The following is a 24,644-nucleotide window of genomic DNA, read 5'->3' as shown; positions in this document are numbered from 1 at the left end:
CATTAGGGCAAATCACCCCAGGTGGTGAGAAGCGTGGGCTTTGACATTTTTCCTAACTTCAGTGCAAACCTACGGGATTAATGAGGGAGTCATGTCATTACGTTTGCACTTCTTAAAAGTTTGTAATGTGGCCGGGCGCGGTGGCTCATCCATGTAATCCCAGCACTTTGGGAGGCCGAGGTGGGCAGATCTCTTGAGGTCAGGAGTTCGAGACCAGCCTGGCCAACATGGTGAAACCCCCATCTCTACTAAAAATACAAATGAACTGGGCGTGATGGCGGGCGCCTGTAATCCCAGCTACTTGGGAGACTGAGGCAGGAGAATCATTTGAACCCGGGAGGTGGAGGTTGCGGTGAGCCGAGATCGCACCACTGCACTCCTGCCTGGGCAACAGAGTGAGATTCCTTCTCAAAAAAAAAAAAAAAAAAGAAAAAGAGTCTGTAGTGTAGATAATGGATCGGCAGGTGCAAGACTAGAATCAGAGGTGTCGTTTGGTCTGTGGATAATGTTTCATGAGCGATTGAAAGCTTTGGTCCGTCTCATGGTGTGTGTTTCACATGTAGACTGGGAAAGTGTGACATCTCCAGTGAAGTTTGTGAAGACATCGCCTCCGTCCTGGCCTGCAACAGCAAGCTGAAACACCTCTCCTTGGTAGAAAATCCCTTGAGGGACGAAGGAATGACGTTGCTGTGTGAAGCCCTGAAGCACTCACACTGTGCCCTGGAGAGGCTGATGTAAGTTGGTCTGCGGGAAGCACGTTCGGAGATTTCTGAAGCGTGCACCTGGATCCACCCATTATCAAAGCAACGCGGTGCTCACTGAGGGGTGCAGCAGAATGCGGAATCCGTAGCTAGACCTGAGTTCCTTTCCCACGCCTCAGTTGCTCATCAGTAAAATGGAGCTGGCTGGGCGTGGTGGCTCATGCCTGTAATCCCAGCACTTTGAGAAGCTGAGGCGGGAGGATCACCTGAGCTCAGGAGTTTGAGACCAGCCTGGCCAACATGGGGAAACTCCATCTGTACTAAAAATACAAAAATTAGCTGGGTGTGGTGGCGCATGCCCATACTCCCAGCTACTCGGGAGGCTGAGGCAGGAGAATCCCTTGAACCCAGGAGGTGGAGGTTGCAGTGAGCCGAGATTGTGCCACTGCACTCCAGCCTGGGAGACAGAGCAAGATTCCATCTCAAAAAAAAAAAAAAAAAAAGAAAATTTTTAAATTTAAAAATTGCATATATTTAAGCCATACAGTGTGATGTTCTGATATATGCATACACTGTAAAATGATTACTATAATCAAGCTAATTAACAGAGTTATCATTTTGGAGGATGTGAGAACATTTAAAATCAACTCTCAGCGAAGTATACGGTACATTGTGATTAAATAATTTTTAAAACAAAAAGTATTTGACATACATATCCATAGTAAAATGTTGACTGTCGTCAAGGAAACTAACATACTCATCATCTGACATCATTGAAGCATTTTATTTTTTTGTGACTAGAGCACTTAAAATCTATTCTTTTAACAAAACCTTAAATATGTGTATTAAACAACAAAACAAAAATTATTCTACATGGGATATCGTCCAGTACATTCCGTTAAGCCATATGTATACTCTGTTGCAAAGAATGGGTGACTTTTGCCCTAGGTCTTCCAGCTGGTGATGATGTGACTTGGAACTGGAATCTGAGATTGTTTGTTGGGACACTGTATTCCACATTCATCTTTCTGTACATCTGTAGGTGTTACAAGTTTTAATCCCCTTTTCTTTTTTTTGAGACGGAGTTTCGCTCTTGTTGCCCAGGCTGAAGTGCAGTGGCACGATCTCAGCTCACAGCAACCTCCGCCTCCTGGGTTCAAGCGATTCTCCTGCCTCAGCCTCCCGAGTAGCTGGGATTACAGGTGTGCGTCACCATGCCTGGCTAATTTTGTATTTTTAGTAGAGACAGGAGTTCACCATGTGGGTCATGCTGGTCTCAAACTCCTTATCTCAGGTGATCCGCCCGCCTCAGCCTCCCAAAGTGCTGGGATGACAGGCGTGAGGCACCGCACCCAGCTCCTTATTTTCTTGAGTGACAGCAGAGTTCAAGGAACATCTGGAAAGGTTTTGCCTGGGACAAAGAAAATATGGTAATATTACCATAGGAAGCTTCAGTGGGCTGGGAGATGGTGTGTTTCTCTGCAGAATGATGTACTGCTGTTCAGCAGGCTGGGAGACGGTGTGTTTCTTTGCAGGTTGATGTACTGCTGTCTCACCTCTGTCTCCTGTGACTCCATTTCCGAAGTCCTCTTGTGCAGTAAGTCCCTGTCCCTCCTCGATCTGGGCTCAAATGCCCTGGAAGATAATGGAGTGGCATCTCTGTGTGCAGCGCTGAAGCACCCAGGCTGCAGCATACGGGAGCTGTGGTAGGACCGGCCATGATTTGCTTCAATGTCAGGGTTTCTTTTTTTGGATACTGTGGCTCTAGGAAAGACATAGGAAAGGGATATGCTAGCATCTGAATGTATATGTCCTCCCAAAATTCGTATGTTGGGTCCTCACCCCCAGGCTGATGGTACTAGGAGGTGGATCCTCTGGGAGGTGATGAGGTTATGAGGGTGGAGTCTCCCACACCTATAAAAGAGGCCCCAGAGACTCTTCTGCCCCTTCCACCATCTGTGGACGCCGTGAGAAAATGCCACTTCCAAAGCAGAACGTGGCCCTCGCCAGACACTGAATTTGTTGGCATCTTGATCTTGGACTTCCCGGCTCCAGAACTGTGAGAAATACATTTCTGTTGTCTATAAGGGACCCGTTTCAGTCTATGGCATTTTGTTATACCAGCCCAAATAGACTGAGACAAGAAGAGAATGGTGTCTTCTGAAAAAAAAAAATCCAGATGAGGCTATACATTTACCCCACCTGGTTCTGGGAACCTTCAGTGGGAAGGAGTTGTAAGGACACAGCAGGGGACTCAGGAGTTGGGTCTCCAGCCCTAGAAAGGCCTGGATGGAGTCCCGAGTGGCCCTGACTGCCTGAGCTTGTGCAGGTGACTCACCTCTCCCCAGGTAATGAGAGGATAGCTAGAGCCTCCTTAAAGAATCGAGATGGCCAGTTGGAATCACACACATGAAGGACTATGATCAATGCATGCAGGTGACTCACCTCTCCCCAGGTAATGAGAGGATAGCTAGAGCCTCCTCCTTAAAGAATCGAGATGGCCAGTTGGAATCACACACATGAAGGACTATGATCAATGCCTGGCTTGTCATACACTCTTGATAAATGACAGTCAGAGCGTGAGACTCATTCATTCCCTCTGCTAGGAACTGAAGATGCTTCTAGGTGGATAAGTTGGTCAATAGAGCATTCTAACATCCCTGTTCCCATGGACTTCCATCTGATGGAGTGTCAGATACACACACATGCATGTGTGAGGCTGCAAGGATGTGTCTGCATCCTAGATTCTCAGTATTGACATGGGGGCATTTTAGCCCAATTCATTCTGTGTTGTTGGGGCTGCTGTCCCATGCTTCCTAGGGTGTTGAGCAGCTTCCCTGGTTCTCAGCCACTAGATGAGCAGAGAAGAACGAGGGAGGAGAGGGGAGGATGGGGGAGGAGAGGGGAAGAGGGGATGGAAGTCGGGGCAGGAGCGGAAGAGAGGATGAAAGAGGTAAGGGACGAGGGGAAGGGGGGAGGAGGGGGGAAGAGGTGGGGAGGAGGGGGGAAGAGGTGGGGAGGAGGGGGGAAGAGGTGGGGAGGAGGGGGGAAGAGGTGGGGAGGGGGAGGGAGAGGGGAGAGGTGGGGAGGGAGAGGGGAGAGGTGGGGAGGGAGAGGGGAGAGGAGGAGGAGGGGAGTAAGAGGGAGAGGGGAGGAGGGAGAGGAGGAGGAGGGGAGGAGGGAGAGAAGGTGCCAGGGGCACTTTCTCTCCTGGCGTGGTAGACCAAAAATGTCTCCAGACACTACCAGTGTCCTCTGGTGGGCAAAAATCTTGCCTGCCTGAGAGCCACCAACACACAAGTACATACATCAGACACATACATATATATGTGTGAGTGTGGGTAGACACGTGCCTATCCACACATCTATGTGTATCATGTATCTATATGTCATCTGTCATTTATCATCTATTAACTATTCATCTGTCCCCTATCCTCTGTCCTCTATCTACCATTTTTCTGTCTATCTGTATTAGGGAGTAATAAGTACTGTAAGGAATCACCAGCTTGGGGCCTGGAGAGGGATTGGACACATGATATACAAAATAGTCAGGGGAGGGCTCACCAAAAAGGTGACATTTGCACAGGGATTTGAAGGTGGGGAGGAGGTAGCTATGCTGATAATTGGGGCAGGAGCATTTCAACCAGGGAGAATAATGAGGAGAGGCCACAGAGAAAAGAGAGCCAGGCAGGAGAGAAGAAGTGCAGGGACCCCAAAGTGTTGGAGCAGAGTAGGGAAGGTGGAGGAACTGGGAAGTCATTGCTGCTTCCACCTTCTTTGTCTTCCCTCCTCCTCTCTTCCTCCCCTTCCCCCTCCCTTTCCGCCTCCCCCTTCTCCTCCCCCCTCCTCCATCTCCTCCCCCCTCCTCCTCCTCCCCCCTCCTCCTCCTCCCCCTCCTTCCCCTCCCACTCCTCTTCCTCCCCTCTTCTTCCCCTCCCACTCCTCTCCCTCCTCTTTCTCCCCTTCTTCCCTCCTCCCTCATTCTCCCACCCTCCCGTCCTCTGCTCTTCTCTCCTCCCTCATTCTTCTCTCCTCCTTCCCCTCCCCACCCTCCTCATCATCTCAGATTTACTTGGGTATTTCTTGCGTCATATGAATAAATGAAAATAAGGTGGGCTGTTATGATTGACCTCATAAGTGTACGTATTTGTGTGTCTTCCACCTCCCCAGGTTGATGGGCTGTTTCCTTACTTCCGATTCCTGTAAGGACATTGCTGCTGTTCTTATTTGCAATGGGAAACTGAAGACCCTGAAACTTGGGCATAATGAAATAGGAGACACTGGTGTCAGACAGTTATGTGCAGCTTTGCAGCATCCTCACTGTAAATTAGAGTGTCTCGGGTGAGTATCTACTGATCACCATCGTAGGAAAATTTATCTATTTCAAGAATAGGAATTGCTGGAGGGTCAATAGAATGGAAGGGAGGCAGGTTTAAAAGCAAGTCCCTCTGGGACGATCTGATATGTAAAATGCTGCCCCAGGGTTTGCTCAGTCTTGGTACTCTTGCTGTTTGAAACTGGAGAGTTATTTGCCTTGGGGGCCATCCTGTGCATGATAGGGTCTTTAGCAGCGCCCCTGGACACTATCCTCAAGTTGCCAGCAGCACCTTCAGTTGGGATAAAGGTCACTAGACATACGTCCCCCAGGAGCACAATCGTCCTGGCTGAGAAGCCCGGGTCTAGACAGCAGAGCGTCCTGCCGGGAGGTGTGTAATTAGCAAGTAACAATGGCGTGCCTTCCAGCCTACCCAAAGCTAGAGTGGATTCTCTGGTGTGTTTCCCTTTTGCAGGCTGCAAACGTGTCCGATCACCCGTGCCTGCTGCGACGACATCGCCGCAGCACTCATCGCCTGCAAAACACTGAGGAGCCTGAACCTCGACTGGATTGCCTTGGATGCTGATGCAGTGGTGGTGCTGTGTGAGGCATTGAGCCACCCGGACTGTGCCCTGCAGATGCTGGGGTGAGTGGACACTGTTTCCTTTGGGGTGAGTGACTTCAGAACGAGCTTAGTTCATTGGCCATTTGCTCAACCGCGACATGATGGATGCCAGGCTGGAGGGTTGTTTGTGGTGGGGGCCTGTCCTTGGGCCCCTGTTGACACTATAAAATATAAAAACCATTGACATTGTAAGATGTCAAGCAACATTCTCGGCCTTTCTCATGAGTTGCCAGTAGCACTTCCCTCAGTTGTGACAATCAAAAAGAGCTCCAGAAATTGTCAGAAGTCCCTCGGAGACACAGTTGCACCAGGTGAGAACCACTGCTCTATAAAACATCTTCTACTTACGTTGCCCATAAATATGCAACGCCAGCTCAGACTTCAGAAGGGCTTCTGGAATGGGCTAAGGTCTTGATTCAGAAATACATTCGCCAAATGGCAGCAGTTAACGTTGTTCTGAAAATTAGGTTTGCCTTTAGAGTTGTACCTATTTGAAATCTGTAGGATGAATTTTTTATGTTAATTTTTCCTTCTGATTTTATTTTTTTAATTTTTAAAAGTTATTTTTTTATTTTTTAAAAAACAAATGGGCGGGGTATAAATGGAAGAGGCTGAATATTGATAATTGTTCAAGTTGGTGATGAGTACATGAATTCATTATGCTAGTGTCTCTAAGAAAAGTTCACAATATGTTGTTTAAGGTTTTTTTTTTGTTTTGTTTTGTTTTGTTTTTTTGAGGCAGAGTCTTGCTCTGTCATCCAGGCTGGAGTGCAGTGGCACAGTCTCAGCTCACTTCAACCCCTGCCTCCCGGGCTCAAGGAATTCTCATGCCTCAGCCTCCCAAGTAGCTGGGATTACAGGCACTCACCACCATGCTCAGCTAATTTTTCTATTTTTAGTAGAGACGGGGTTTCACCATGTTGGCCAGGCTAGTCTCGAACTCCTGACCTCAGGTGATCCACCTGCCTCAGCCTCTCAAAGAGCTGGGATTACAAGCGTGAGCCACCATGCCTGGCAGAGACTGGTAACTTATAAAGGAAAGAGGTTTAATTGGCTTATGCATCTGCAGGCTGTACAAGAAGCATAGCAGCTTCTGCTTCTGAGGTAGCCACAGGAAACTTTGAATCATGGCGGAATGTGAAGCAGAAATAGGCACGTCTTTGGTGGCGGGAGCAGGAGGAAAGGAAGCAGGGGGGATGCCACACACTTTTAAACAACCAGATCTCGTGAGAACTCTATCATGAGAACAGCACCAAAGGGATGGTGCTCAACCATTCACGAAGGATCCACCCCCATGATCCAGTCACCTCCCACCAGGCCCCACCTCCAACATTGGGGATTACAATTAAATATGAGATTTGGGTGGGGACACAGATTCAAACCATATCACGAATGTCTAGGGAGGACCCCAAGTGAAGGGGGCACAGCAAAACATAAAGGCCCTGAGATGGGGCCAGGCCTTGTACCCTGCAGGGCCAGAAGGGAGTCCCGGGGAGCTGTATAGCAGAGAAAGGGAAAAATGAATTCAGAGAGGAGACAGAGACCCAGTCCCCATAGGGACAGGCCAGGTACTTAAGGCCTGCATTATAAAATAATAATAATAATGTCTCCCTTCTCTTCAACCACCATCCCCACACCCAAAACATGTCATCTCCACAGTAGCAAGCATTCAGAGCAGTTATTTCTGGGTAACTTTCTCATAGTGTCGCTGTAGCTGAAAGGAAACTTAGCCATCTTCCCTACCTCTGAAGATTTAAGATAAACTCCTACTTCTCCTGTGTCTAAATGTCTACGAAATTTTGTGACCTGCTAATCCTCCTCAACTTCTTTTTATAATTGGAGATAAAAAGGCATATAACTATGAACACCTGGCAAGAAGGAAGGACACGGGAGAGGGGAGAAGAGAATTGCAAATGTTAGTTATATTCTTTCAGGAAGGCCTATGTTCCAGTCTTACCAATTATTTGTGAACTTATTTTTTATATTTTCCTGATGCTGAGAACATTTAGAAGTTATAAAGAGACAGAGATTCAACGTATAAAGCAAGAACGATAGCTGTTGAGGGAGTAGAAGCCAGGAGGAAGTCGTGTCCAGTAAGCTAAGGGAAAAAATAAACAAGAAAGTGTAATTAACTGTATTCAATGCTAACTGGGTAAGTAGGATAGAATGTATTTAACAAATTGATGTTATTGGTGACTACAAAAACCAGCTTTGTTGAGGTGGGTTCAGGGGACAATGACACGAAAGGAACTGAAAATAGCGAAAACAGACAAGAACGTTTGACATATTTATGGGTGTAGCATGTGCTTTAATTATTTCTTAGAAAATGGGCAGGTTGTAAATGGAAGAGGCTGAATATTGGTAATTGTAGAAGTTGGTGATGGGTACATGAATTCATTATATTAGTGTCTCTGAGAAAAGCTCATGTTTTTTTTTTTTAAGCAAGCACATTATAAGAAGCAATAGATGTGCCAGGGCATATGAACATCAGATGAATGGAAGTTATCCTGTGTTTTTCTTTTTAACTTAAATTCATCTTTTTTGAATTAAATCTTAATTGATACATCCTGTATATGAAATTTCACTTTATGGTATAAATCAGAGGCTTCCTATCCTATAGGAAAGATTCATGCTTGTTTTTCAAATTCAGTACAATTCTCCCAGTGATTTCTAGGAAAGAATAAAGAGGAGAGGAGAGGTAGACATCAGAATGTAGAGAGGCAATACTGTGTAAAAATGAAAAACAAAAAAAAAAACTTTATTTCTATTTTCCCAGGCTGCACAAATCTGGCTTTGATGAAGAAACTCAGAAGATCCTGATGTCTGTGGAAGAAAAAATTCCCCATCTGACCATTTCACATGGACCTTGGATTGACGAGGAATACAAGATCAGGGGTGTGCTCCTCTGATGGGGAACACCCTGAAGTAGTCGTCTCACAAAGGCTTTCCTTGGCCACAGTGGGACCTTCACCTGGCACCTCTATCCTGTAATTGCACATCATGGCAGCAGGGCTGTGATTTCAGAGGTACTCCCTAAGTGTTCTAGCAATATGATTATGGAGTGTGATTCAGTGTACATGCTGATTGTCTTTGCCTCGGTCCTATATCCCCTTGTCTTTAGAAATCCCATCCTGCCTTGTGATATTTAGAAGCACAAGTACGTTAAACAAGTGCTAAACGCTCTGGAAAGCATGGCTTTATTTTCTTAATGGATGTCTTGGTGTGTAGGAGCATGCATTTGTAGGCACCACAATCCGGATACTTCTGACACAGAAGTGATGCTAGAATGTGTCTATAGATTGTATTGCTAGCATCCAGACTTTCTAGTTTGTCCAGATTTCGATTTGATCAATTTTCTTGTCCAATAAAAAAGCATTTCCAAATCTCTACTTATCCTTTTATATATGACACCCCAATAGATTTTTCTAAAAATTCAGTATTATTCAAATATATCTACACTGTTTATATTTCAAAACACAATATTAAACACTTCATTGTCATAATTAAACATTCCCTAGTTCCCTACGGTAAATTGCTGATGCCTTATTGGCCTGGTCTAAAATTTTTATTACAAAACATAAAAGCAAGATGATGCAGAAATTGGATTATATAATCAGTTATCATTAGATTGAAATATAATCTCAGATTCTCCTGAGAATGAGAAATTGTGGACCTACTCTTGGATCTCTTGGCACACTCCTGGATTCTTTGGATATTTGGGAGGCTGAATTTTCTATAATCTTCAATGTAGAGTGCTCGCACTTACTTGCTTAATTTTACTTCCAGGTTTTCCATATGTTTAAGCAATTATGAACTTTTTTGCCCAATTTTCTATTTGCTTTTGGCCTTTTCCCACAACTTTAAAGAATGCTGGCATAGGCCAGGAGTGGTGGCTCACGCCTGTAATTCCAGCACTTTGGGAGGTCCACGCGGGCGGATCACCAGGTCAGGACTTTAAGACCTGTAAACACGAGTTTACACTCAAGACTGGACAAGGGTTTCCATAGGACAAAAGACACCATTGTGTGGGGGATTCCAGTGGAAAGAAGAACCAAGGAGTTTGCCACGGCCATGTGGGTGAGAATCTTGTGTGTGGGCCTCATTTGATGCTCAGTCAAGATGGGAAAGATATTATGGAAGAACAGAATGGCATTGGCCAGAGTCCCCACCCCAGTCTGCAAAGGAAAGATGGTTTTTATGGCCACTTCCCCTATGGTTCTTAGGACATTGTTCTGAAAAGACATGGGGAGGGTTTCCAGGTGGTCTGAACTGAAGAGCTGGCTATGTCTGTGATGAGATCAGCACTCTTAGCTTTTCATCTTGGAAAGTTATTTTGGTCTTTCCTTTACCCGAAATAGAGACACTGTCATATTCCACAGAAGGGGCTCAACATGGAGAACATACCCCTGACACCAGTTTCACATTTGACTGGTTTTTGGGTATTTATTTTCATTTGTTATTTGTTCTTTCTTTTGTTTTAGAGTCAGGGTCTGCTTTTTGGCTCAGTCTGGAGGGCAGTGGTGCCATCATAGCTCACTGCAGCCTTGAACTCCTGGGTTCAAGTGATGCTCCTGCCTCAGCCTCCTGTGTAGCTGGGACCACAGGTGCACACTACCGTTCCTTTTTTTTTTTTTTTGAGAGACAGCCTCACTCTGTTGCTCGCCCAGGCTGGAGTGCAGTGGCACAATCTCGGCTCACTGCAGCCTCCGTCTCCTGGGTTCAAGTGATTCTCCTGTCTCAGCCACCTGAGTAGCTGGGATTTCAGGCATGCGCCACCATGCCCTGCTAGTTTTTGTTTTGGTATTTTTAGTAGAGATGGGGTTTTGCCATGTTGGTCAGGCTGGTCTCAAACTCCTGACCTGAGGTAATCCGCCTGCCTCGGCCTCCCAAAGTGCTGGGATTACAGGCCTGAGCCACCGCGCTCAGCCCATTTAAATATTTTTTAGTATAGACGGGGTCTCACTATGTTTCCCAGGCTGGTCTGGTACTCCTGGCTTCAAGTGATCCTCCCACTTCAGCCTCTCAAACTGCTGGGATTACAGGCACAAGCCATCGCACCTGGCCCATTTACTTTTTTTTTTTAATCTCTCTTTACTATTGTTTTTTAAATCTCTCTTTACTATTGTTTTTTAAATCTCTCCCTTCCCTTCCCCTCTTTTCTTTCTTTCCTTTTCCTTCCCCTTCCCTCCTTTTTCTCTCTTTCCTGCAATGCTGCAATCTTGGCTCACTGCAGCCTCTGCCTCTGGGTTCAAGCGATTCTCCCGCCTTAGCCTACTGAGGAGCTGAGATTACAGGCATCTGCCATCATGCCCGGCTAATTTTTGTATTTTTAGTAGAGACAGGGTTTTGCCATGTCGGCCAGGCTGGTCTCGAACTCCCAACCTCAGGTGATCCACCCGCCTCAGCCTCCCAAAGTGCTAGGATTTCAGACATGAGCCACCACGCCCGGCCCTCTTTCACTTTTCTAAAACAGTACGCCACTGCATTCCAGCCTGGGTGACAGAGCGAAACACGGTCTTTTAAAAAAAAAAAAAAAAGAAGAAGAAAAAGAGAAGAAAGGAAGAAAAGAGGAGGAAAAAGGAGAAGAAAGAGGAGGAAAGGAAGAAAGAAAAATAAAGGAAGAAAGGAGGAGAAAAAGGAGGAAGAGGAAGAAGAAAAGAGAGGAGGAGGAGGAAGAAGAAATCAAAGTTCTCCAGTCTCATAAACCTGCACATGCAGAGAATCTGGAAAAACTAAAGCTGGGTTGTTCCCCAACCAATGGACATTCTATGGTCCCTTTTCTTCCAGATAATAAGGCCTTCTTTGTAACTGCTATGCAGACCTCTGGCTTCCCATCCAGCATACCTGAACTAAGACTTATTTTGTCTTACACTTTATACTCACTGAAAATCAAGAATCCCATGGTGAGCTATGATCACACACTGCAATGCAGCTTTAGTGATAGAGCAAGACCTTGTCTCTAAATATATATATATATCCCACAACACTCTAAATATATATATATATATATATCCCACAACAACAAATATTCCAGCCACAATGTCAGTATGACTGTTGAAGAACCTGACCTTATGATTGACATGTCATTTTCTCGATACTTTCAAGATTTTCTCTACCTTTGGCCTTTATTAACTTGACTCTGATAATGTTCGGGGATACTTTTCTTTTTTCTAAGAAAGGGTCTTGCTCTGTTGTCCATGCTGGAGTGCAATGGTGCGATCTCGGCTCACTGCAACCTCCACCTCCCGGGCTCAAACGATTCTCCCATCTCAGCATCCCGAGTAGCTGGGACTACAGGTGCATGCCACTATGCATGACTAATTTTTGTATTTTTAGTAGAGATGGTGATTTTGTCATGTTGGCCAGGCTGGTCTCGAACTCCTGACCTCAAGTCATCCATTCGCCCCGGCCTCCCAAACTGCTGGAATTACAGGCTCACGCCACTTCATGAAATGTGTTGTAGTGGCTCTGGATTCTGTATCGTTCTGAGAGGTTTTTTTCATTGGTTTGTTTTCGTTTTTGTGTGTTTCCGTAGGCAAAAAAGTTGCCTGGACAGGTTTACAAAACATATCTCCCCATCTCCCTGCAGTCAGCAGCTATCGGTATCTATGCTAAGTTCCTTCAAAGACTCCTAAGAGGTCTCCATGGACCTCTGAAGTTTAATAGTCAATGATTGGGTCAGAGCTTACTCAGAAACCTCAGGCCAGTGAGGCTTCCAACCTCTGCAGCCCAGGCTGAGTGGCTTGAGTAGCACATTCACTGTGTGGCAGAACTGCGAGTCTGCCCAGGCTTTTCATTTCTTCTGGGCTCCCTGGTGCCTCCCACGTGCATGTGTAGAACAGCATTCAGCCAGAGATGCTTGGGAAGTGGATGAGAACAGCATTCAGCCAGAGATGCTTGGGAAGTGGATGATGTCTACCATTCTACGGATCACTTGCGATGCTTATTTCCCAGGGAACAGAAATGAAGTGGGGCCAGGCCATCTCCTGTCTCTGTTGTCTGTATTACAGAAGGAAGGGAGCGGTGCTGGAGCAGGGGGCCCAGGAGCATCACAGGCGGCAGGCCAAGGAGAGAGATGTAGGTGGCAGGACCCTCCAGGGACTCGGGAGAGACACATGCGTGAGCTTTTGCGATACGGGGTGAGACAGCAAGGGTGCTGTGGGGTGTGTGTGCCTTCCCCCAGACAGTGTGGATGGCTGCATTCATGTTAGGGCTGTCATAACAAAGTACCGCCAGCTGGGAGCGCTATAGAACGTCAATGGATTTTCTCACAGTTCTGGAAACCAGAAATTCAAGATGAAGGTGCTGCAGGGTTGGCTTCCGCCAAGGCCTCTCTCCTTGGCTCCCAGACGGCTGTCTTCTCCCGGCGTCCTCACATGAAGGTGCAACCCCACTATATAACAGTCAGATTGGATTAGGACCCACCCTAATGTCCTCATTTTAACCTTACTTACCTTGTAAAGGCCCTGTCTCCAAATACAGCCCCATTCTGGGGTACGGGGTCGGTGCAGGGTGGGGGGTAGGGTTTCAACATAGAGCTTTCAGGAGGGCGCAGTTCAGCTAGTGACAGTGACTGCAGGTGTCTAAGCGGAGAGGATGGGCCACTCCAACGGGGGGCGGGTGAGCAAGGGGCGCTGGAGAAAGAGCGTGGAGAGCACGTGCCGTCTAGTGTGCGCGCTGGGCTGGAAGGTGGGGACCAGGAGGAGACCGGGACCACGAGTAAGAGCCCGCGAGAGGTACGTGTGAGAGCGACTGTCTCCGTGTGGGCGAGAAGCCTGGAAACGGAGGAACTGGGTTTCCGAGGGACTGAATACCTCGGTTGATAGTCTGCGCGCTGGCCCAGAAGGAAGGAGCACAAGCGCGCACGGGATCCCAGCGTCTTCCCACAACCCCGCCTGCGGCTCCGTCCGCTCTCCGGCGCCCTCTGCTGGGCCAGCAGCCGAAACGCAGGGGAGCGCTTTCCAGCTTCCTCCAATCCCAGCCCACGCGGTAGCCGCTCACACGCAGGTGCTTAAACTTAAATCCATCAAAAATTGGCAAGATTAAAAAAATCTCATGCTGGCCACATTTCAACTGTTCTACGTGGCATGTGGCTAGTGGCATCCCTTTTGTACAGCACAGAGAACATTTCCGGCATCTCAGAAAGTTCCATCAGACGCCCTGCTAGTGACCAATCTGCGAAAAAGTGAGGATCCCAGGCTGCGCCCAGTGGCTCACGCCTGTAATCCCAGTACTTTGGGGGGCCGAGGCAGGTGGATCACCTGAGGTCAGGAGTTCCAGACCAGCCTGGCCAACGTGGTGAAACCCCGTCTCTACTAAAAATACAAAAATTAGCTGGGCGTGGTGGCGGGCACCTGTAATCCCAGCTACTTGAGAGGCTGAAGCAGGAGAATCGCTTAAACCCGGGAGGCAGAGGTTGCAGTGAGCCGAAATCACACCATTGCACTCTAGCCTGGGTGACGACAGTGAAACTCCATCTCAAATTTTAAAAAAAAGTGAGAATCCCCGACTGTCCCAACCACACACAACACACACACACACAGCAGCTATCTCCTTGGTTGAGGGCACTTCCCACTTAGGCCCCTCCGGACAGTGTTGTCCAGGACAGAAACACACGTGGCCACACACACGCCCTCCCCTCCATTTATGGCTGGCCCAGAGCTGCCCAGCCAGAGAGAGACCACGCAGGGCCAAAGGAAATAATCTGCTATCAAAACTGAAAGAGGCCAGGTGCGGTGGCTCACGGCTGTAATCCCAGCACTTTGGGAGGCCGAGGTGGGCGGAATCACAAGGTCAGATTGAGACCATCCTGGCTAACACGGTGAAACCCCGTCTCTACTAACAATACAAAAAATTAGCTTAGCCGGGCGTGGTGGTGGGCGCCTGTAGTCCCAGCTACTCGGGAGGCTGAGGCAGGAGAATGGCATGAACCCGGGAGGTGGAGCTTGCAGTGAGCCGAGATCGCACCACTGCACTCCAGCCTGGGTGACAGTGCAAGACTCCGTCTCAAAAAAAAAACAACAGTGAAAGAAAAGAAAGGAGTAAATGCGGCTTAGATGAACGAATAAATGCATTCACCCATTCTACCTGAAATCAATACCCAATTGATGTAAGAAACAGAAATCATTTAGGTAGATAGGGCGAAGAGAGTCCCCAGCAAAAAACTTCCTAACAAAAAGCAGCTTAGAAATTGCTCCCTTTCTCACCACACCACGCAGTTCAAAGAAATCACTTCTCCTAACAAAGAGCAGCCTGATCTTTCAGGCTGTAAAACACAGATAAGCAACTCGGGCACAGACTTGGGAGGTTCCTGGGTAATCACCAAGCCACATACATAGATGGGCCCCAGTGAAAACAGTGGGCCTAAAGCACATTCCTTTCCCTTTCTTTAGGCACACTAAGGGAAGCTGGAAGCGCGTGGGGGAGATGCCTGCAGCTGCACGAAGGTGCCTGGGAATGGGCACAGAAACACTCCCTCCCCTTTTAGCACACACAGATAAGCAGCAGCGCAGAGCAGCACAAACGAAGGGCCTGCCTGCAGGATCAAAGAATGGGGTGGGGGCCCGGCGCGGTGGCTCACGCCTGCAATCCCACTACTTTGGGAGGCCGAGGCAGGCGGATCACTTGAGGTCAGGAGTTGGAGACCAGCCTGACCAACATGGTGAAACCTTGTCTCTACTAAAAATACAAAATTAGCCGGGCATGGCTGCATGCACCTGTAATCCCGACTACGCGGGAGGCTGAGGCACGAGAATTGCTTGAACCTGGGAGGCGGAGGTTGCAGTGAGCCAAGATGACACCACTGCACTCCAGCCTGGGCGACAGAGCGAGACTCCATCTCAAAAAAAAAAAAAAAAAAAAGAATGGGGTGGGGGCTGCTAGAGACTCTGCTCGATGCAGACAGCACACCTGGTCCTAACTGGTTCTTCAGGCCCTAGGAAGAAAAGACACCCCTCCTCACTAGCCCATCTATAAAACCCCTGACATTTCTTCTACAACTTCACAACCCGTTCGGGACCCGTCTCTGTGACAGAGCTGTTTCTTCCTTTTGCCTATTAAACTCCTGCTCCAAATCTCACTCTGTGTGCATCCACATCCTTGATTTCCTCGGCTGTGAGACCAAAAACCTTAGTATTTACCACAGACAAGACCGTTTTACAGGAACAAGCCAGGCAGGGTCCCGAAAGCTCAGTATTTTAAGGGTCTAACAGGGAGAAGTTCTCATTAATGTCAGCTCCTTCTGAGAACTGCTGGGGTCAGAATAGTCCGGGAAAGGGGAGAGGAGACACAAGGTCCTTGTTCAAATCATGTATTTCTTAAGATACTAAGAGAAAAAAATACAGGAAACAGTATCATTTTTTTTTTTTTTTTGGAGACAGGGTCTCACTCTGTCACCCAGGCTGGAGTGCAGTAGTGCAATCTCGGCTCACTACAACCTCCGCCTCCTGGGTTCAAGCGATTCTCCTGCCTCAGCCTCCTAAGTAGCTGGGATTACAGGTGCCCGCCACCACACTAGGCTAATTTTTGTATTTTTAGTAGAGACGGGGTTTCGCCATGTTGGCCAGGCTGGTCTCGAACTCCTGACCTCGTGATCCGCCCGCCTCGGCCTCCCAAAGTGCTAGGATTACAAGCATGAGCCACAGCACCCAGGCGAAACAGTATCATTTCTAACCCTTTTCATGTGGCTGTCAGGACATGTTTCAAGCACCGAGTCCAGCATCTTGATAAGATGGGAACCAGGGAGCCCTCAGGGCCCCCGCGCCAGCCCTCCCACTGCAAACCCACACCACCCTGGCCGTCTGGAGCTTGTCCCAGCCCGGCTCCCCGTGACATCGGGACCTGGCCACTCCTGGACGTGATGCCCTAAGCTTGCCTCCCCTGCGGATGGATGTAGTGATGCTTGATTTGGGTGGATGAGAACATTCCCCACAACACAAGCCATTTTGCAACCTCACCTCCCGAGCCTCTGAGCTACCTTTCATTCCCCTCTGAGCACGCAGGGTTAACTGCTGTAGGGGTTACCCCCATCAATGCATGAGTTATACCTTTTGACAGTAACACACAACGATTACTAGAGAGCATGTCATTACCATTTTTAAGTGCTCCAGGGGAGGGGCCATGAGGAGGCTGTAGGTGAAACAGGAGTGGTTCAAATGTAAATGATGGCTGAACACGAGTGAGGCATTTGCAGGGGTGGTTATGATAATATTGTCTATAGTTTTGTGTGCTTCAAGATGTCCCTCAGAAAGTTTGTAATTATGGGCCGGGTGCCGTGGCTCACGCCTGTAATCCCAGCACTTTGGGAGGCCGAGGCGGGTGGATCACAAGGTCAGGAGTTCGACCAGCCTGGCCAATATGGTGAAACCCTGTCTCTGCTAAAAACAGAAAAATGAGTTGGCTGTGGTCGCACGCACCTGTAGTCCCAAGTCAGGAGAATCGCTTGAACCCGGGAGGCGGAGGTTGCAGTGAGCCGAGATCGCGCCACTGCACTCCAGCCTGGGGGACGAGAGCAAGACTCCATCTCAAAAAAAAAATAAATAATAATAATAAGGAAAGGAAGTTTGTATTTATGGAGCAGTCATTAAATAGTGCTTTATGGGCCGGGCACAGTGGCTCAAGCCTGTAATCCCAACACTTTGGAAGGCCGAGGTGGGCAGATCACGAGGTCAGGAGATCGTGACCATCCTGGCTAACACAGTGAAACCCCGTCTCTACTAAAAAAATACAAAAAAATTAGCTGGGCATGGTGGTGGGCATCTGTAGTCCCAGCTACTTGGGAGGCTGAGGCAGGAGAATGGCGTGAACACAGGAGGCGGAGCTTGCAGTGAGCAGAGATCGAGCCACTGCACTCCAGCCTGGGCGACAGAGCAAGACTCTGTCTCAAAAAAAAAAAATAGTGCTTTAGGAAATTATAAATATCCATACTAAAATAATGTGGATGAAACATAACATTATATAATTATCCCTGAAAGTAAAACAAAAGCATGAAGAAACATTCAATACAAAACAAACAGCAAAGGGAGCGATTTCTCGGCGGAAAGCATGCTGGAACCCTGTGGAAGCGTGGGCTGTCCCAGGACGTGCAGGCAGGCCTTAGACCCCTGCCACATACAAGCAATCACCGGGGGTCAGCACACTTTTTGTTGAAGAGCCAGATAGTAAATATTTTAGGCTCAAGGGACACTCGGTCTCTGCCACACTCAATGTCACCATTGCCACTGTAGTGCAGAAGCAGCCGTGGCTGCACTCTAATAAAACATTTTTTTTTACAAAAGCAAGCAGCCAATCCTTGGGCTGCAGTTTGAGAAACTCCAGGGGCACCTGTGATGTGAGTAGGCCGGTTTCTCACCACAGTGAAGGGCCTGGCAGGATGGCGCTTGAGGGATGAGCTGGACAACCCACAGTCATCACAGAGACAGACAAGTTCTCAAGAAATAAAACATTTCTGGCCGGACGCAATGGCTCACGCCACACCCGGGAAGCTAGAAGCACGTGTGGGGGAGATGCCTGCGGCTGCAAGAAGGTGCCTGGGAATGGGCACAGAAACTCTCCCTCCCCTTTTAGCACACGCAGAAAACCAACGCAGAGCAGCACAAACTAAGGGCCTGGGGGAGGCGGGAGGGAAGGCATTAGGAGATATACCTAATGTAAATGACGAGTTAATGCGTGCAGCACACCAACATGGCACATGTATATATATGTAACAAACCTGCGCGTTGTGCATAGGTACCCTAGAACTTAAAGTATAATAAAAAAATAAAAAATGAAATGGGGTGGGGGCCGCTACAGTGGCTCACGCCTGTAATCCCAGCACTTTGGGAGGCCGAGGCAGGCGGATCACGAGGTCAGGAGATCGAGACCATCCTAACATGGTGAAACCCCGTCTGTACTAAAAATACAAAAAAAAATTAGCTGGGCGTGGTGGTGGGCACCTGTAATCCCAGCTACTCGAGAGGCTGAGGCAGGAGAATCGCTTGAACCCGGGAGGTGGAGGTTGCGGTGAGCCGAGATCGTGCCACTGCACTCCAGCCTGGCAACAGAGCAAGACTCCTTCTAGGGGGGAAAAAAAAGGGCATTTCTTCCTATTCAATGAGAACATGAGGAAAAGGCAAAAGGCAGAGGCTGGCTGGGAGTGGGTTTGTGTGTGTAAAATTGAGTTTCAGTATAAAAAAAGATCAAGGCAGGACTGAAAGCCCTGAGGCTGGCATCGCAGCTCCAGAGCGAGGGGCAAGCGTAGGGCGAGGAGCGAGGATAGGGCGAGGGCGGGAGTAGAGCGAGGGGTAAGGCTAGGGTGAGCACAGGTGGCAGGGGACTCTGGTGGGCCTGGACTCTGGTGGGCGGGGTGACCCAGGAGCTCGGATGAAGCTCCTACGGGCTCCAGGAAGGTTCCCTCAAGTGCCTTCCCCACCCAACCCCTAGGCCCTGAACAGAGTCGAGACCCAGGAATGTCCCACGCCCCATCGCTTCACCTGTCCCAGGGAGAAATTCTGGGGTTTTTTCCACTTCAGCCCTCTCTGGGGGAAGACGTCGGGTCAGAAGCACATCTGCTCCTGAGAGCCAGCCGGGAGCACCACCATGACTCTTGCTTAGCCAAACCTGAGGGATCTGAACCTCCTCCTAGGCCCATCCGTGCATGCCCTTGTAAAATCCTTTCAGCAAATGAACCCCGCCGCCATCCCCCCCAACCCCCGCCACCCTCACATCTGATAGGCTTCTTCAGCCTCCACCATCCCCAGGTGACCTCTGATCACCCTGGCCTGCCTTCAGCAAGAATCCTGCTAGGTGGGTTTAGCCGAAAACCCCCGGACCCCTGAGGTTTGCTCTTAGTGATTTTCCATCCACTGATGGTACCTGTACCTGTCTCGATGGTCCTGAATAAAGTCTTCCTCACGGCCATTTAACAAGCTCGCCATCCCACTGTGGGGAGAGAGACACATCTGCTGTAGAAAGAGTGATACACACACAGTGGGGGGAGCCCTCAATCGGGGACAACAGCAGGCTCCCAGCATTCTCCCAGCGTTCAACCGTGTATGTCACTAAGCTCAGGTGCTTGGGCCTCATGGGGGACTCCTACACAGCAGCTCCTGCTGAGCACTTTGGTGGCTGGAATATTCTAGAAAGAGGAATAAAGTAGGAGACACGAGATCTGTGGTGCTACTTTGTAATTCGCACTGTAGGGAAAAGAAGATGCCGAAGATGCTGTAGTTAAGCCCCAAATTTATGTGCAAGCCTCTGGGTTTTTGTCTTGTTTTTCAATCCTGTCTTCTCTGTTTTGCCAAATGAGGAAATGGTGGGGAGAATTAAAGCCTCACACCTTTAACCCCTCCACTGGACTAATCCAACTGTATCATTTTATCTTCGTCCTCAGCTTTTTTGAAGAGAAAGGGAGTGCAGGCTCCGCAGTGCGAAATCGTGAAACTTATCCTTAATTTGGTGAATGGAGGGTCTGACAAGTGAGGGGCCCAGGAGCTATGACCCTGTGGGGAGACCAAGATTGGCAAGAGGGAGGCTCGGCTCGCCTCCCCTTTCCATGTGATCCCACCCAGAGCTGCCGCCTTCAGCTGGCTCTCTGTGCCCTGTGGGGCTCCCCCATCACAACCGCCTAGAGCAGCAGGGTCTCGGACAGCCCAAGCGTAAGGGACGCTTGCTGCTGCCTGGGGACAGCACCCCCTCCCCCGGTAACAGTCCCCATTTCCTCCTGGGAAATGACTCTCCCACAACATACCCAGGCCGGGTGTGAGAAGAGGGCTTCCCCTCCCTGGCTAAGCAAGGGGGATGCTCCTCTGCAACTGAATCTGGAACCGGCTGACCCCAAAGTTCCTGTGTCCCTGGGACCCACCTCTTCCTGCATGGTGTGGTCAGCAATTCCTCCATCAAGCCCCCGACAACCCTCCAGACACCCTGGTCTGCAGGGGCAAGTGGAGGCCAGAGAACGCTCCGACACAGGTCATGACCCAATTCACAGCAAGAAACAGAACCCCAACCTCACATCACCCCAACAGCACTCCTTTTGCTCTGCAATCCCCAGGTGACGTAGGTCTGTCCACCAGGGAGTGGGCACACAGGGTGGCCACGACGCTGCTCGGACACCGCAGTCATGTCCCTCTCAGTGGCCTCCAACACTCCACTGGCTGGGTGCTCCCTGGACCCCGACCCATAACAAGTGTCCCTGTGATGTAGCTGTCTGGCCCCACCCTGAGCCCAGAGCGTCCCCCGGGCAGAAGGGGCAAGAAGTCTGACCCCAGGGGCCTGGCCCCACACAGCCTTCACCCCAGCACCTCTGAGACAAGAGCTGTCGGAGTCACTGAGGGAGCGAACCCAGCCGTCAGGACTTGACCCCAGGGGATCACGGAGGGAGACTCCACATGGAAGAACAGCCTGTTCGGCTTAAAACAGACATGGCCAGATCCCCATCCCTGAGGCCCTGGCTGTGGGGCCTGCAACAAGCTGTCACCTAGCCCTGGAGATGACAGCAACACCCCCCTCACAAGGCGGCCCGAGGATTCTCCCGGATAGTCTCACCAGGTGTGGTCCAGCCCAGGACAAGAGCACACAGAGGAAAACAGCACACAGAGGACAACCAGGAGGCGCCTGGTGGTCCACTCAGCTCAGCCGGCAGAGGCTGACCCGGCTTTCCAGGAGTGCAGGGATGGATTAGTGATGCTTGCGGTGGGCCCGGGCGATGGCGACGGTGACCTGTGTTGCACATGTGCCATCTCTCAGGATTCTTCTCCTCCCTGAACCCCAGTGCACTCTCTGACCTCATCCTGGTGTCCCCTCAACACAAGAGCAAGGCCTCCTGCACCGGAAGCGTCTGGCCATGAGTGGCCTCCCGACCACCTGGACCTGTGTGGGCTACAGCTCCGCCAGGCCTCGCACAGTCCACCCTCAACCCAGCCATCCCTTGACCTGGGAGGGTCAGGGAAATCAGGGCTTCTGAGACAGAGGGGCTGGTTGCCAGCCACCCCCGAGAAAGAGATGTGACCTGAGCCCTGGGTCCCTGGATGAAGGGGCTCTGGGGGACACACGAAATCACAGATGGGAATCTGGGAGTGCCAAGCCCGTGGGAATTGCCATTTATTCCCAAAGTTGCCAAAATCATCACCAAGGATTCACCGAGGGTGCGTGAGCGGGTGCGTGAGGGGAACGAGGAGGCTCAAACACTGACTGGGGGTTGGGAGTTTGGAGGGAGGGGGAATGGGTGGGGGCCCCAGCCACCCCTCCCCCTTCTAATGCCACGGGAAAGGGGTCCTCCTCTGGCCAGCTCCCCTCCCCAGGCCCCATGTCCAGTTTCTCTCCGGGGAGGTGGGGTGGGAAAGGAAGAGGGTGTAGTGTGAGTGGGCCCCAGGAAGGGGAAGGGCACTGGGGGTGGGGATCCCCCATTTCACATGCACTCACAACACTGATCTCCCAGGGAGCCGGAATGGGGCAGCCGGATGGAGCCAGGCCCCCTTCCGCCCTGGATTATAGGAGGAAGGGATTAGTGTTGGGGGCCGGGGGGCCCGGGGGCATCATGGGGGGCAGGCCAGGGCCCCCGCCAAGGGGAGAGATGTACGTGGGTGGCGCTCCAGGGACGGGAGGCACAGGACTGAGACGGAGCTGGTTCAGGGTGAGCGTCGCGGGAGGCGCGGGCTGGAAGGGGTTGGTGACGGAAGGGCCAGTGGCTGGGCCTCCTGCAGGAAGAGTAAACCAGAGACACGGAGTGGAGTCAGTGGCGCAGCCCACCTGTGTCCATCCAGCATGTGCAGGCAAAGGGCGAAGTGTCCCTGCCCCGTGAGGCACCTCCTCTGGTGGAACCCACAGGAAGGACTTGAGCAGGTGATGGGCCCACACTCACCGCCTGGCAGGAAGGGGTTGGAGGCCTTGGCTCCAGGCGGCGTGGGGCCCGGCCGGCTCACCAGCGAGTCCAGGTCGACGAGGGCTGCATTGGGCCCCAGGAATGACTCCGGCGTCTTCCGGGTGGGGGGCGTGGGAGTTGGTGTGGCTGCAGGTGGGGGGCTGCCCACAGCCTCAGCCAGAGATCCCCTGACCCCACTCATGTCAAACGCCCCAGGGCTTCGGGCCGGCACCTCTCCTGCCAGCAGCTCCAGCTCTCCTGGAAGGATCCGGGAGAGGGGCTCAGACAGGGCAGACAGCAGTGAGGCTCCAACCCGGGAGCAGTATAGGCCATCATAGGGGGCGCTTCAAAGAGCCCGGTGCCCAGAGGCCTCGGGAAGGAGGAACTGAGGTGCAGAGCGGAAGCATCGCTTGCCCAGGCCAAAACCTCACGTCAGCCCAGATTCCCATAAGGTGGGTCTGATTCCAGTGAGCAAACACAAGAGGGATGACAGAAGCAGGTGTCACCCTCTGACAACCAGAGGGCAGCAACTGCTTCAGGGTGGGGCCGTCCAGGGTCTATAGGCCCGCGGGGGAAGGCAGCGGGGGCGTGTTCACAGGTGCCTCCAGGCTCAGAGGAGCCTGCCCTCAGACGCTCCTTGAGTACACAGCCCCAGAGGGAGCTTCCAAGTGGACAGACAGCACAGACACGTGTTCCGGGCCAGCGTGAAGACATCTGTTGGCTAGAGGTCTGATTTTCTGTTTTTTTTTTTTTTTTTTTTTTTTCTGAGACGGAGTGTCGCTCGTTTCCCCAGTTGGAGCGCAATGGCGCAACCTCAGCTCACTGCAACCTCCACCTCCTGGGTTCAAGCGATTCTCCTGCCTCAGCCTCCCAAGTAGCTGGGATTACAGGCGTGCGCCACCATGCCTGGGTAATAATTTTGTGTTTTTAGTAGAGACGGAGTTTTGGCCATGGTGGTCAGGCTGGTCTTGAACTCCCGACCTCAGGTGATCCACCCACCTCGAGCTTCCAAAGTGCTGGGATTACAGGCGTGAGCCATTGCGCCTGGCCTGATTTTCCTTTTAAATAGATTTAAGAATTCTACCTAATGTTGAAAAAATGCACACATTTGTATGGGACAAAAAAGGGCCTAAAAGAAGGAAAACTGCATGCTGGAAGGTTGCTCTACGTTAACCTAGATAATGAGAGGAGGGAAGCGTGGGTGCAGCTCACTCCCTGCAAGCTGCCAGCCTTTCATCAGTGGAAACAGGTTTCTGTACCACAACCTGCTCTTCACTAACAGCTCACTTAAAATAAAAATAAGAGATCAAGGCTGACCTGACTCATCATGGGACAGACAGGTATCAGCTGAGGGCCGCGGCGAAGCACCAGTGGCCCACTATGACCTCGGGCACTCCTGACGAAGAGCCACTCAGGACTCAGCAGATGGGCCCGTCACCGGCGATGGGCGCCAGCTTACGCCAGCTGAAAACCCCAAGGAGCCAGGGCAGCTAAAGGCAGCACCCATGAGGACGCACCCTGGCCAGCCCAGGAGCCACCAGCAGGTGAGTGGCGACCCGGAAGGGGAGCCTCGGCTGCCTTCCAAACCCCTGTCCACGCAGCTCACTGCACAGGACAAGACAGTCCGTGTTCTTTGAGACACCTGGAGAGTTTGCAAGGCACTCAAGCAACGTGGAGGCAGAGACGGGTCAGAGGTCAACATTCGGGTGGGAAACCTTGAGAACAATTCTCAGTTTTTCTCTAAGTCTGCAATTTCTCTAAAATAAAGATGCACACTTCTTTTAAAGACAGGTGGATGGTTCTGGCCCACTCTACCCAACTGAACTTTTCATCCCTAAGTCCAGCCGGCCCTGCCTGGAGTGGGACAAAGACAGCAAGGGACGGGGCTCCCGAAGAGCTAGGGGAGGCTCCCTCTCGCCACTGGGCAGGGGAGGGCAGGGGCTCACCTGCGCTGCTCCCGGAGGTCGGCAGTGCCGTGCGGAGTCGGTCAAAGTCAGAGAACTCGTCGGGCTCCGTGTCGAATCCCCCGGCTGCTGTGGGGTCAGGATGTTCTGCTCAGCCCCTCCCTGGGGCCCCGCCTCAGCCCCCACCTCCAGTCCAGGCGTCCACCCCTCCCTTAGGACACTCAACACTAACTTCTCCCACTCACTCCCACCCGGGGCTCCA

General features: G+C 50.7%; 2 protein-coding genes and 1 pseudogene across 5 annotated transcripts in view, besides 2 other annotated features; 1 reads left to right on the top strand and 2 right to left on the bottom strand.

Moving 5' to 3' along the window:
• The window catches only part of NLRP9 (NLR family pyrin domain containing 9), a 29,965-nt gene extending 20,941 nt beyond the window's left edge, over positions 1-9,024 (top strand). Inside the window, exons 5-9 of the mRNA NM_176820.4 lie at positions 564-734; positions 2,237-2,407; positions 4,872-5,042; positions 5,492-5,662; positions 8,418-9,024. Of these exons, the coding sequence (NP_789790.2) occupies positions 564-734; positions 2,237-2,407; positions 4,872-5,042; positions 5,492-5,662; positions 8,418-8,550 (817 nt within the window). The 3' untranslated portion in view covers positions 8,551-9,024. The remainder of the gene's footprint in view (positions 1-563; positions 735-2,236; positions 2,408-4,871; positions 5,043-5,491; positions 5,663-8,417) is intronic.
• Positions 7,929-24,644, bottom strand: part of EPN1 (epsin 1) — a 34,308-nt gene continuing 17,592 nt past the window's right edge. For 2 of the 4 annotated variants that reach the window (NM_001130072.2, NM_001130071.2), the window contains exons 9-11: positions 24,425-24,511; positions 22,479-22,736; positions 7,929-22,314 (exon numbers count right to left, since the gene is read on the bottom strand). In NM_001130072.2, coding sequence (NP_001123544.1) covers positions 22,106-22,314; positions 22,479-22,736; positions 24,425-24,511 — 554 coding nt within the window. In that variant the 3' untranslated portion in view covers positions 7,929-22,105. The remainder of the gene's footprint in view (positions 22,315-22,478; positions 22,737-24,424; positions 24,512-24,644) is intronic. The other 2 variants (NM_001321263.2, NM_013333.4) reach the window with 1 other exon arrangement.
• Positions 9,604-9,885, bottom strand: VN1R106P (vomeronasal 1 receptor 106 pseudogene; annotated as a pseudogene).
• Positions 14,824-15,708: an enhancer, noted in NCBI's record as "H3K4me1 hESC enhancer chr19:56213120-56214004 (GRCh37/hg19 assembly coordinates)". NCBI's record gives its function as "activates a minimal SCP1, AML or CMV promoter by ChIP-STARR-seq in naive H9 embryonic stem cells {active_cell/tissue: H9 hESC(naive)}" and the evidence as "EXISTENCE:reporter gene assay evidence [ECO:0000049][PMID:30033119]".
• Positions 15,025-15,319: a silencer, noted in NCBI's record as "tiled region #1300; K562 Repressive non-DNase unmatched - State 8:EnhW". NCBI's record gives its function as "represses a minimal TATA promoter and a strong SV40 promoter by Sharpr-MPRA in K562 cells {active_cell/tissue: K562}" and the evidence as "EXISTENCE:reporter gene assay evidence [ECO:0000049][PMID:27701403]".

This window comes from Homo sapiens, chromosome 19 (genome assembly GCF_000001405.40).
Source record: "Homo sapiens chromosome 19, GRCh38.p14 Primary Assembly".
Lineage (NCBI taxonomy): Eukaryota > Metazoa > Chordata > Mammalia > Primates > Hominidae > Homo > Homo sapiens.
This window is presented reverse-complemented; position numbering and strand designations above follow the sequence as displayed.